The following is a 12,078-nucleotide window of genomic DNA, read 5'->3' as shown; positions in this document are numbered from 1 at the left end:
CTCCGTCTCTTTAAAAAAAAAAAAAGAAAGAAAAAAAAGAATTCCTTTCTCAGTCTTGGCGATACAACCCCTTCTCAGTGCTACCTCAGTCTTCCCCTCTAGAACTACACAATATCTGTGTCTAATTCTATATCCAGCACAGTGCTTGATAAGCATCATAAGGGCACAAAATATTGTTGCTGAATGAATGGATAAACGAATAACTCTTGGATTTTAAGGGCCAGATAAGTCACAATTCTACACACAATTCTATAACTTCTTTGATTTGAAAGTGGCCCTGGGCCATTCTCATTGAAATGTTGAGAATATCTCGGAGGTCCATTTCTATGTTTACATTTCAGGTGCCTATTTATGGATAAGTGAGCTACTGAAAATCTCAATGCTTTGCAAGTAGGGAGATGTAGTAAAGTCCTTTTTCAGAAACTGGTAGAGTACACCAGTGCACATTAGACCCAACACTATCTTTAGTAGCTCCATCTTTATTTTATATTTAATTTTTTTGTGTGTGGCGGGGGGGACAGGGTCTCACTCTGTGGAGTACAGTGGTGCGATCCTGGCTCACCGCAACCTCCACCTCCACCTCCCAGGATCAAGTGAGCCTCACCTCAGCCTCCCAAGTAGCTGGGACTACAGGCGCATACTACCACGCTCAGCTAATTTTTGTGTTTTTTTGTAGAGACAGGGTTTCACCATGTTGCCCAGACTGATCTCAAAGTCCCGAGCTCACAGGATCCACCCGCCTTGACCTCCCAAACTGCTGGGATTACAGGCATGAGCCACTATGTCCAGCCTAGTAGTTCCATTTTTAGATGTAGTTTAATATCCACAATAGAAGAACAATTCTGCGTACTTGTAATAATCGACTTAAGGAGGATCAATATCCATACAGATACTGTGGCAGAAAAAAAGACTTAATTATTTTAGACTTTTCCCCACAGACGAAATTAAAAGTTTTTGGTTAATAAAAAATACAACCAAGCAGAAAGTTCCATTTCTGATGCATTTACCAAAGTTTCAGTGTATCTACCAGACTACAAACTCTACTCTTGAGTTGCCAACAGAGAAAATTTCATGTCAATGAAATCAACAATACAGTAGTAGCAGTAACAAAATACAATGTACCAAGAATTTCCTTTGTCCCAGACTCTATCCTAAATCTTACGTATACTTAATTCATTTGTTAATAATTCCACTGCAACCTTGAGGTTTGGTGCTATAATTAACCCCCAATTTATAAGTCAGGAAACAGAAGTATCAAGAGGTAAAGTAACTTCCCTAAGATCATAAAGCTAGTTGCTTGGCTATTAAAACAAACCAGTAGGCTCCAGGACCCAGATTATTAATCATTACATGATTGTCAGCATGACAGGTACATTATTTCTCCAAGTTGGTATACTACAGCCAAATCGTCCCCTAAGAACATACATTTCAACAAGCCCTTCCAGGGATTAAAGATCACTGGTATGGTAGAAAAACACTGCATTTCGAGATAAAAGGCGTGAAATTAAGCCTTTAATTAAGGTTTTAACATCCTAACCAGCCACTGGCCACTTTCAAAACCTTAGCTTCCTCCTTTGCCAAATAAAGGGATTTGATAATTTTATTTTAAATTTTTTTTTTTTTTTTTTTTTTTGAGACAGAGTCTCACTAACTCACCCAGGCTGGAATGCAGTGGCAGGACCTTGGCTCACTGCAACTTCTGCCTCCCAGGTTCAAGAGATTCTCTTGCCTCAGCCTCCTGAATAGGTAGGACTACAGGTGCCACCATGCCTCGTAATTTTTGTTTTTGTTGTTTTGGTAGAGACAGGGTTTCACCATGTTCACCATGCTGGTATCGAACTCCTGACCTCAAGCAATCAGCCTCCCTCGGTCTCCCAAAGTGATGGGATTAGTGATGGGATTACAGATGTGAGCCACTGCTCCTGGCCAATAATTTTATTCTTAAAAAAAAAAAAAAAAGGCCGGGCACTGTGGCTCACATCTGTAATCCCAGCACTTTGGGAGGCCAAGGCGGGTGGATCAGGAGGTCAGGAGATGGAGACCATCCTGGTGAGCACAGCGAAACCCCGTCTCTACTAAAAATACAAAAAAATAGCCAGGCGTGGCGGCGGGCGCCTGTAGTCCCAGCTACTCGGGAGGCTGAGACAGGAGAATGGCATGAACCTGGGAGGCAGAGCTTGCAGTGAGCCGGGACTGTGCCACTGCACTTCAGCCTGGGCGACACAGCAAGACTCCGTCTCAAAAAATAAATTAAAAAAAAAAAAAAAAAAAAGTTTGGCGCAGTGGCTCACACCTGTAATCCCAGCACTTTGGGAGGCCAAGGCAAGTGGATCACCTGAGGTCAGGAGTTCGAGACCAGCCTGACCAACATGGAGAAACCCCGTCTCTACTTAAAATACAAAATTAGTTGGGCGTGGTGGCACATGCCTGTAATCCCAGCTACTCAGGAGGCTGAGGCAGAAGAATTGCTTGAACCCAGGAGGTGGAGGTTGCGGTGAGCCGAGATCGCGCCATTGCACTGCAGCCTAAGGCAACAAGAGCAAAACTCTGTCTCAAACAAAACAAAACAAACAAACAAACAAAAAACAGATGGGGGTCTTGCTACATTGCCCAAGCTGGTTTTGAACTCCTGATGTCAAGTGGTCTTCCTACTTTGGCCTCCAAAAGTGTTGGGATCACATTCATGAGCCACCTGGCTCAGCTGGATTAGACAATTTTTTTTTTTTTGAGACAGAGTCTCGCTCTTTCGCCCAGGCTGGAGTGCAGTGGCGCGATCTCTCCTCACTGCAAGCTCTGCCTCCTGGGTTCACGCCATTCTCCTGCCTCAGCCTCCCAAGTAGCTGGGATTACAGGTGCCTGCCACCACGCCTGGCTAATTTTTTATATTTTCAGTAGAGACGGGGTTTCACTGTGTTAGCCAGGATGGTCTCGATCTCCTGACCTTGTGATCCACCTGCCTCGGCCTCCCAAAGTGCTGGGATTACAGGCGTGAGCCACCGCGCCCGGCCTAGACAATTTTAAAGAAACTTTCTAGACGCACAACAGTTTAATTCTGAGTAATGACGAGGTATGAGTATTAAATGTGTTATTAGCCGAGTTAAAAAGTGTGTTATTAGCCAAGTTTTAGGTTAAAAAAAAACACAAAATCCTACTTACCCTGTTTACTGTGGATGCAAGTGCCTGAAGAACGGCTACTTTATCCCTAAAAATAAGAACCACAAGTTAATCCTCATCAGGGCTCTTCATAGCCACAAACCGAACAAGTGATTCTACTCTCAGTGTACTGGCCAATAACATAGTGCAGATCTCATCTGAAGCTGGTTATGTCACAAGGTCACTAGAATAAATTAGAAATTAAGAAAACTGCTGGTTCTTTCCCCTAGTTGGTACATGTTCCTCTCTTTGCCTGTCCTCTCTGGCCTGGTGCATAATGCCATAACCCAGGGCTAGTGATTTCCATCCCGCCCTCATAAAACTATCTGGCCTACTTCCTCTACCCACTTTCCTATGGATTCTTACTGCAGCTTTCGGGACTACTGTTGCCTTTACTATCCTAATTGGTAGCTCTTGATTCAGTTATAGGAGAATAAACCACAGGCTTCACTCTGGACCTATTGCATCAAAGCCTCCCAAGATCCATGGAGGACTGTCACACACACTCTTACTGAATTCCCAGATAATTCTGATGCAACCTCCTGGTTTAGAACCTCTCAACCATATATAACGTTATGGTAAGAATTGCAGGCCAGCTGTCCACTGCACCTCTGAGTAGAGACCTTTACTGAACTATTAGAAAAGGCTTCACTGGAATAAATGACAGACAAGATAATTTGATCTCAAATATATTTGTGCTCCTATGTTAGATTTAATGTGTTTCCTTTCCAAAAGGGAATTATACCAAGAGTATTTTTCTAAATAAAGTTTAACATAACATTCTTAAGACTATAAGTCATCTGAGAAAAACAAAAGTACAGGAAATTTTATATTTCATCAAAACTAATTCCCTGATGTACATAATATCCACTAAATTTTCTATCCACGTTTAGAAGTCACATTTATGTAATTTCAGCAAGTGTGATAACGACACATTCTCTCATCTGTCAGCATTCCTTCAGCAGATCTTTTATTGCCCTATTTAAGTCTTATCAAGTTAGCAAACTTTCCTAACATATTGAACAAATGGCAGTGAAAAAATGATGACATTCAGATTACTCACTAATTCTCTTTCTTTAAAGGGTTACTTTAAAAGGTATCATACATTATCTTAAAAAAATAAACTAGAACATTACACGTTAACCTAAAGTGTCTGGTGTCATCTTGTGACCCCTCTCCACGATGAATTTGGTATTTGTATTTCCAGAACTTTTAAAGGTATTTTCACACATAAACATCTCCCTAAAAAACGTATACACACTGTCATTCTGCATGTGTCTACATAAGTTTGGCTGCACTATCCATGTTATTAAATATAGAGCTAATTAATTCCTTTCAATGTAAAAAGTTATTGTATGATAACCTTTTAAAATTATCCATTCACTTTTCAATGGGCATTCAGGCTGTTTCAACCTGTTACTATTCCCAAGTAATAAAGAACAGTCTTGTCCATGTATATATGCAAATGTTCCTCCAAAGTGGCTAACCAGTAAGGTACGCACATTTCCAATTCTGATTCTGCCAAATTTCCCTCCAAAGAGCTGTTCCAATTTACTGTCCCATAAACAAACGTATTTCTTCAAATCCTCTCTCTGCCAATACGGTAAGTTTTAATTTGCACTTCTTTTATGATCCCAGTTACCTATGCATTGACATCACTGGGCTCCCTGGCCTCCCTAAAATAATCACACAGTTCAGATTAATAAAGTTCTTAAAAAAGTCTTTTTAAATGAACCCAAGTCTTTTTTTTTTTTTGAGATGGAGTCTTGCTCTGTCGCCCAGGCTGGAGTGCAGTGGCGCGACCTCGGCTCACTGCAAGCTCCGTCTCCCGGGTTCACGCCATTCTCCTGCCTCAGCCTCCCGAGTAGCTGGGACTACAGGCGACCCCCCACCACATCCGGCTAATTTTTTTGTATTTTTAGTAGAGACGGGGTTTCACCGTGTTAGCCAGGATGGTCTCAATCTCCTGACCTCATCATCCGCCCGCCTCGGCCTCCCAAAGTGCTGGGATTACAGGCGTAAGCCACCGCGCCTGGCGAACCCGAGTCTTTAGGTCACATAATTTTAAGACCTAGCTTTTTGAGGGGCCACTAAATGCGTTCAATAGGACTACACTGTAACAAGCACTTTTGTGAAGTTTTAATTCCTGCATATTCAACAAATGTTGAATAAATGAGATGAGGCAATTTGTTCAAGGATATATCCAGTGAATAAAAAAGCTAAATTTTGCTGTCCACACCATTTACTTTATTTTTACCTCATTAGAGATAATAAAGACAGTAACTGTCTGCTCTTGAATCATATGAGAGAACTTCCTTGAAAAAAATTATTCTAATGATGATGTTCATGTATAACCATGTATTATTAACCACGTAAATAGTAACCCACACTAATTCAAAATCTCTTTCAATTGTTCTTTTAAGTAAATCTCATTGCTCATTCACTCACTATTCTCCACCTTTCCATTTTTTGTCCTTTAAACTCCTAGCTTCTCCCCGCTCAGCTACTCTCTTCAAGAATGCTCTCCTATTGCTCTTCCTGTCACTGTCTCCTTACCTAACCCTTACACTTCTCTCATAGTAAGCACTCAACCATTTGCTGAATGAACACTGATAGAATACTTACCAAGTTTTCTTTTTTGGAATTACTACTTCTTCAATCCCTAATGTAAAAAAGAAAACATGAATCAGTTTCCTAGTACTACAATGGAATCCAACGTGTTGATATAAAAATAGAATTCAATATATTTTAAAATATACCTGTTACATCAGTTCCTTCAACCTTTGAGAGGGTTGCACTACCAGAATAAAATCTGCAAAAAAACAAAAGCCTTAAATCTAATAGTCATTAATGAAGTACCCAGCTCACCTCCACCTATGTGTACTTTGAGCCCAAATTCTCCAATTATCACGGATTAAACTGGATAACTCATGTCAATGAACGCTGAGAAGACAGTCTGTACACATGTTCAATATCATTAAGGAATGGATACAAGATATGGACAAGACTGTCAAAACTTTTTTTTTTTTTTTTTTAGAGACAGGGTCTTGCTCCATTGCCTAGCCTTTAGTGAAGTAGTGCAATTATAGCTCACTGAACCCTTGAACTCCTGGGCTCAAGTGACCCTCCTGCTTCAGCCTCCTGAGTAACTAGGACTACAGGCATATGCCACCATGCCCGGCTAGACAAAAGTTTTGGAAGCAAGCAATCTCATTACATAAATGGCAGAGAGGGAGGAAAGTTTTTAATAGCACTTGAACAATCTGGTTTGAAATGAAGAACTTTCAACTTCAGGAACCCAAAACACTATGATGTTTAAAAGAACAATTCAGTGAGCTCTTGCTTCTATACAGATACTGCCCTGATCAGAAAGGACTACCTCACTTAAAGCAATTACAACATAGGGAAGATGACCCATGGCTTCTCATTCCACTTCTTTCAACAATCAAGAATGTACCAAATACATAAGGCCTGATTTAGACTTGGAATTGCTGATATTTTCTATTTTCAGAGGTTCAATATGAAATCCTTTTTAAACCAAAATATAGAATCATTGGCCCATGACTGAGTTTTTAAGTGTTCTGTTTAAGTGTTCTGATCACACTAAAAACACAGTCAACACACCACAGATAATGTGACGGTTAGTATTATCTTGTGTTTCCCCTTACTAAATGGCATCAGTAACATTCAGAAAATTGTCAAGATGTGATTGCACAGACAGATACTTCCTCCAGTAGTATCTGGTTTCAGGTATCATTTAAAACAAGAATACCCCTCTACGTTAAGGACATTTCAGAAAGAGATCAACTCTTTCAAGTTTCTGAGATCAACTCTTTCAAGTCACACTATTTGTTTCTCATGACCTTAAAACAGAGATCACAGTTATTTTGAGAACGGATGCTGAGGAAGAGATTCTGCTTCAGGCAAAGAAAATGAGTAGAAAAATGCTAACGATGGCTACCAGGAAACGGAGGACTGGCATTGAATGGCAGCACAAAGGTTTCTGCAGTATCAGATGGAGTGGTTTCTCTTTCTTGAGGGGAACTAAGGGAGAGTACATATAAAAACATATTGTAAATTACATACCCCACTTATACCTCACAAACTTTTCGGATGGTTATTACCAACTCTAGTCTGCAGATGAGGAAATCTGTCTATTATCATCCAATTAAGTGAATGGCAAACACTAAACCTAAAATTAGGCTTTTAGCAAGTTTTCACTACAAATTACTGCCTCTCATATTCCCACAATGCCACTGTTTGTACTGAGTGAAAAAAAAATTACACAGATAGGTCATACATGTTCCAAGCTATAACTATCACAGATCAAAAGGGCATAGTCAGATCTTTTAGACTTTTCTGCTTTTACGAAAACCTGATAACTTCTTTAGCCAAAGTCCCCACGGTGGCGACCAGAGACTGCCTTTTATTTGGGAAGATCTTGTACGTTCTCCTCGCTCCTCCTGATTGGGTTAAAATGAGTAATGGCGGATAATTTTTAATTTGGGGTAGTGTTGCTAATAGCCACACTCACTGGAACGCAAGCTTCATGAGAGCAGGGTCCTAGCTTTGCGGATGGTGTTAACTACAGAATATTGCAAGCAACCAATAAGTATTTCTCTAATGAATAAATGCGTTGCGAATCCTATTTCAAAGGGCCACCTCCGCGTACCTGGTCTTAAGGGCACGCGACCGTTAAGGGCGCGCATGAGCAAACCATTTCATCGTGCCTACTTCCACAGCCAGCTGGGAAACATAGGACTAAGGTGACTCCGCGGTCTTCTTCGCGGATACCCTAAGCGTCTCTTACCTGCAGCTGCGTGCCTGTTCACACAAACCCGCCCGCCGACCCGTCAGCGGCTGGCCAAGCCTGCTGCGGAGGCCCAGCCAGCGAACAGCAGATACAACCGCCATCTTTGATTTCTCTGCAGAGCATGTTGGGAAAGCGTGCCTCGACCTTCAGGAAGGTGGGGCGCAGTGGGCGGGGAGCAGGGAACAGCTCCGCTATTGGCTGAAGCGGAAGAAGACGAAAGCAATCATAAAATGGGAGGTTGCAAGCTCATGGTTTGAAAGACTTCGTCACGGAAGCTAAAAGCTCTATACACCCGATTTGCCTCGGAGGAATTTTCCTAAATGATTATTTTGATGTCTTATATATCTTTGATTGTTTTCAAAACAAAAGAGCGAGCAGAGAGTCGTACAACTATTTGTTCCCCCCCCATGTAGAAGTGATCTCATCCACGTAAATGTCGTTCCTGCGACCGCTTCCGCGCGCAAGCGCACGTTGAATCGCGTGGTGACTCCGGGCTTGAGGTTGAATTAAGAATAGTCAGGTGGTGAGTGGAACGTCTCTTGGGGTGTCGGAATTCAAAACGGACCTGGAGGATGTTGATCTCCAAGAACATGCCCTGGCGGCGGCTGCAGGGCATTTCCTTCGGGATGTATTCGGCTGAAGAGCTCAAGTAAGGAGTTGGTCGGGTAGCGTGCCCAGCCTGGATCTTGAGGTCGGCGCCCTAAACTACGATTCCCAGAAGCGCTTTTGCCCAGTCTATCCTCTTGAGTCCAGGCTTGTCTGGCGCTTGTCCTGCTGGGAGCCGTAGTTCTGGGAACGTTCCTGGGCCGGCGTGGACTGCCTGGATAAGAGGCCGGTGGTGCTGGGGGAAAGAGTTTGCGCTGAGGTAGGGGAATATAAGGGTGGGGAGGGTCCTGGTCTGCAGCGTTATCATCTGCCAGTCTCCTCGTTAACTAACAAGCATTTGTGGAATTAACCATAGTGTACCTGACATGGTTAATTAGGCACGTAGTAAGTTTCCTCTTGTTTGTAAAATGATTGTCCTTCAAGTGTCAGTTCAGGCGTTAACTTCTCTTTGCTAGGACCCTGCTATATTCTCGGTCTGGTTGTTAAATCAAGGGAACTCTCTTTAGTCTTCATTTTGATCAAGGTAGCATTTGACATTCTCCAATGCACTCTCTTGAAACTTTCCTTTCTTCCAGAACCTTATTTGTCTTCAAGTTCTCCTATTTTTATGACAAATACTTCTACCTCCCTCTCTTCCTCTATCGATCTATAACCTCACAAACATTTATTGAGCATCCAGTTTTTTCCAGGCACCAAGCTAGGCGTTAATGACACATTGGTGAGCAAGGTCTGTACCTCATTTTACTCCTTAAATGTTGATGTTCTTCAAGATTCTATTCTAGTAATGTTTTCTTCATGGTAAATATTGTCCCTAGACAATCTCACCACTTTCATGATTTATAGTCTCAAATTTAAATCCCCAACGCAAATTTATTTCCCTGATTTTCAGACCCATTTGTTCAGCTGTCTGTACATCTTTAATTGAATTTCACACAGAGATCTTAAATGCATATCAAAAACTCAACATGGCCTAAATGCATATCAGAAACTCAACATGGCCGGGCACGGTGGCTCACGCCTGTAATCCCAGCACTTTGGGAGGCCGAGGCCGGCGGATCACGAGGTCGGGAGATCGAGACCATCCCTGGCCAACATGGTGAAACCCCGTCTCTACTAAAAATACAAAAATTAGCTGGGCGTGGTGGCGGGCACCTGTAGTCCCAGTTACTCGGGAGGCTGAGGCAGGAGAATCGCTTGAACCCAGGAGGCGGAGGTTGCAGTGAGCCGAGATTGTGCCACTGCACTCCAGCCTGGCGACAGAGCAATACTCTGTCTCAAAAAAAAAAAAAAAAAAACTCAACACGGCATCCCTCTTCAAAGGGAGGGGTTACTTACCCCTCCAAAATGGTGTACGTAGTGCAAAATAGTCACTAGAAACTGGAAAATTATTCTAGATCTCTCCTGACATATAACTTATTTATTGGGCTCTTACTTTGTGTCACCTACATGTCTATTTGTTCTTAGTCTCCTTTTTCTCCCAATTGCTACTGTGTTGCCTCTGGCCCTTATCTCATATTTGAATTGTCTTTTCCTTCCACCCTCCCCTTACACCTCTCAAGTGCATGCTCCACACTGCTGTCAAAATTATTCTTGCAAAGTGCAAATGTAGTCATGCTACTGTCACCCTTAAAACCCTCCAAATGTTCTCCATTTCCCTCAGATAAAGTATATTTTCTTAGCATAGCCTGCAAAGTCTCCCATGATCAGACCAATGCTGATTTTAGCTATAACATCATCCCTTCTTCAGCCCTATTAAACCACCTGCATATTCCAGAAACCGCCATCATATTTCAACATCTGGGCCTTTCTTTAAGCTATTCCCTCTGCATGCAGTGTCCTTTCAGCCAAAAGGAGGTACTTCCCTCTGTCCCCTACCCAACATACACACCTGAAAGCTCAGTTCACCTCCCTTGTTTTGTGAGGTCATTTTGCACATGATACAGTTGTCTGTCATGGTGCTTTAGTGACTTTTTGTGCTTATGTATATTTGTCTTCCTCCACTATCCTTGAGCTTCTTATATGTGTCACTCTTGTCTTTTATCCTCAAGTCTGAATAAATGGATGAATAAACTCCTGAGCCACAGCTCTGGTATCATTGGTAACAGTGTGCTAGCCCAGAAATTCCAATTATATCATCACTGCCATAAGTGGATACGATTTCATCCAAAAGCAGAAGTGTTTTAAGTTGCCTGAATTTTTAAAAAGATAATTGTGGAGTTTTCAAACAAGTTTAGAGTTGAGACATTTCAATAATACTGCCACCTTTTATTGTGCCAGGTTCTAATAGCTTCCCATCTCACTCAGAGTAAAAACCAAGTCTTTACAAATGGCCTGGAGGGGTCATTTCAGTCTCCTGTTACCTCTCTGATCTCACCTCTATTCTGGCTACCCTGACCTCCTTGCTGCATCCAGAGCACCACGGGCACACATCCACCTCAGGACCTTTGCACTCCCTGCTTCTTCCTCCTGTAAAACCCTCTGCCCAGGTGACTGTATGGCCTGCTCCCTCAACTCCTTCAGCCTTTGCCCAAGTTCCTCCTTAGTGGGCTTCTAGGACCACTTGCCTACTCTGCTCTTCCCTTTCCCTGCATTATTTTTCGTCATAGCCCTTTCTGCCGTCTAACAGACTATACATTTTGTGTCTGTTCCCGTTCCTCCAATAGAATGTAAGGCCTGTAAGCATAGCAGTTCTTGTCTGTTTCCTTAGCACTTAACACTGTCTGGCACACAGTGAGCACTCTGGGTATTTGTTGAGTGTATGAATAGATGGATAGAGGAGCTAGCTGCTCAGTGCTTGGCACTTTCAGTCCTTAACGACACCCATTCTCAGTTCTTAACAACACCATTTGTGGTGGCACCTCCAGTAAAAAATTCAGGCCCAGAGAACAAAATGTCTCTCTAGGAAGTGGCAAAGGTCATCTTCAAACCTAAGTCTATTGATCTCAAACTCTACTGACTGGTGGAATCCTTGCTAGTTGCCCCTACTCTTCATCCCACTCCTGTAATGGTGGGAGGGACTTTCTCCTCTACAAAGAGAGAGGAACTTTGTTTGACACTGTATTTTCTGTATGTTATCTTCTAATCATCCCAATAGAGCTGCTGTGATGCCCAGACTTCAGGTGAGAAAAAAATTAGGTAGTTATCAAAGGATACAGTCAGCAGAGTGAAAGGGCAACCCATGGAATGGGGGAAAATATTTGTAAATTATATATCTGATGAGAGATTGATATCTAGAACATAAAAAGAACTCCTACAACTCAACAACAACACAAAATTCAATTTTAAAATGGACAAAGGACTTAAACAGACATTTTTCCAAAGAAGACATACAGATGGCCAGTGAGTATGTGAAAAGATGTTGAACATCACCAATTTTAGGGAAATGCAAATAAAAAGCTCCTCAAATCCAGTAGGGTGCTACTATCAGAAAAACAGAAAGTAGTAAGTGTTGGCAAGGGTGTGGAGAAAGTGGAAGCTTTTTGTACACCATTAGTGTGAATGTAAAA

The 12,078-nt window shown here is 42.1% G+C and overlaps 2 protein-coding genes across 2 annotated transcripts in view, besides 3 other annotated features; one reads left to right on the top strand and one right to left on the bottom strand.

Moving 5' to 3' along the window:
* PTCD3 (pentatricopeptide repeat domain 3) overlaps nucleotides 1-8,080 on the bottom strand; it is a 35,923-nt gene extending 27,843 nt beyond the window's left edge. The window contains exons 1-4 of the mRNA NM_017952.6: nucleotides 7,964-8,080; nucleotides 5,913-5,965; nucleotides 5,779-5,815; nucleotides 3,157-3,202 (exon numbers count right to left, since the gene is read on the bottom strand). Coding sequence (NP_060422.4) covers nucleotides 3,157-3,202; nucleotides 5,779-5,815; nucleotides 5,913-5,965; nucleotides 7,964-8,067 — 240 coding nt within the window. The 5' untranslated portion in view covers nucleotides 8,068-8,080. The remainder of the gene's footprint in view (nucleotides 1-3,156; nucleotides 3,203-5,778; nucleotides 5,816-5,912; nucleotides 5,966-7,963) is intronic.
* Nucleotides 7,770-8,029: an enhancer, noted in NCBI's record as "active region_16154". NCBI's record gives its function as "activates an Ori minimal core promoter by ATAC-STARR-seq in GM12878 lymphoblastoid cells {active_cell/tissue: GM12878}" and the evidence as "EXISTENCE:reporter gene assay evidence [ECO:0000049][PMID:35858748]".
* Nucleotides 8,410-8,619: an enhancer, noted in NCBI's record as "active region_16153". NCBI's record gives its function as "activates an Ori minimal core promoter by ATAC-STARR-seq in GM12878 lymphoblastoid cells {active_cell/tissue: GM12878}" and the evidence as "EXISTENCE:reporter gene assay evidence [ECO:0000049][PMID:35858748]".
* The window catches only part of POLR1A (RNA polymerase I subunit A), an 85,671-nt gene continuing 82,021 nt past the window's right edge, over nucleotides 8,429-12,078 (top strand). Inside the window, exon 1 of the mRNA NM_015425.6 lies at nucleotides 8,429-8,615. Within this exon, the coding sequence (NP_056240.2) occupies nucleotides 8,539-8,615 (77 nt within the window). The 5' untranslated portion in view covers nucleotides 8,429-8,538. The remainder of the gene's footprint in view (nucleotides 8,616-12,078) is intronic.
* Nucleotides 8,820-8,909: an enhancer, noted in NCBI's record as "active region_16152". NCBI's record gives its function as "activates an Ori minimal core promoter by ATAC-STARR-seq in GM12878 lymphoblastoid cells {active_cell/tissue: GM12878}" and the evidence as "EXISTENCE:reporter gene assay evidence [ECO:0000049][PMID:35858748]".

The sequence above is a fragment of the Homo sapiens genome, chromosome 2 (genome assembly GCF_000001405.40).
Source record: "Homo sapiens chromosome 2, GRCh38.p14 Primary Assembly".
NCBI lineage: Eukaryota > Metazoa > Chordata > Mammalia > Primates > Hominidae > Homo > Homo sapiens.
Note: the sequence above shows the minus strand (reverse complement) of the source record. Positions and strands in the feature narration are given on the sequence as shown.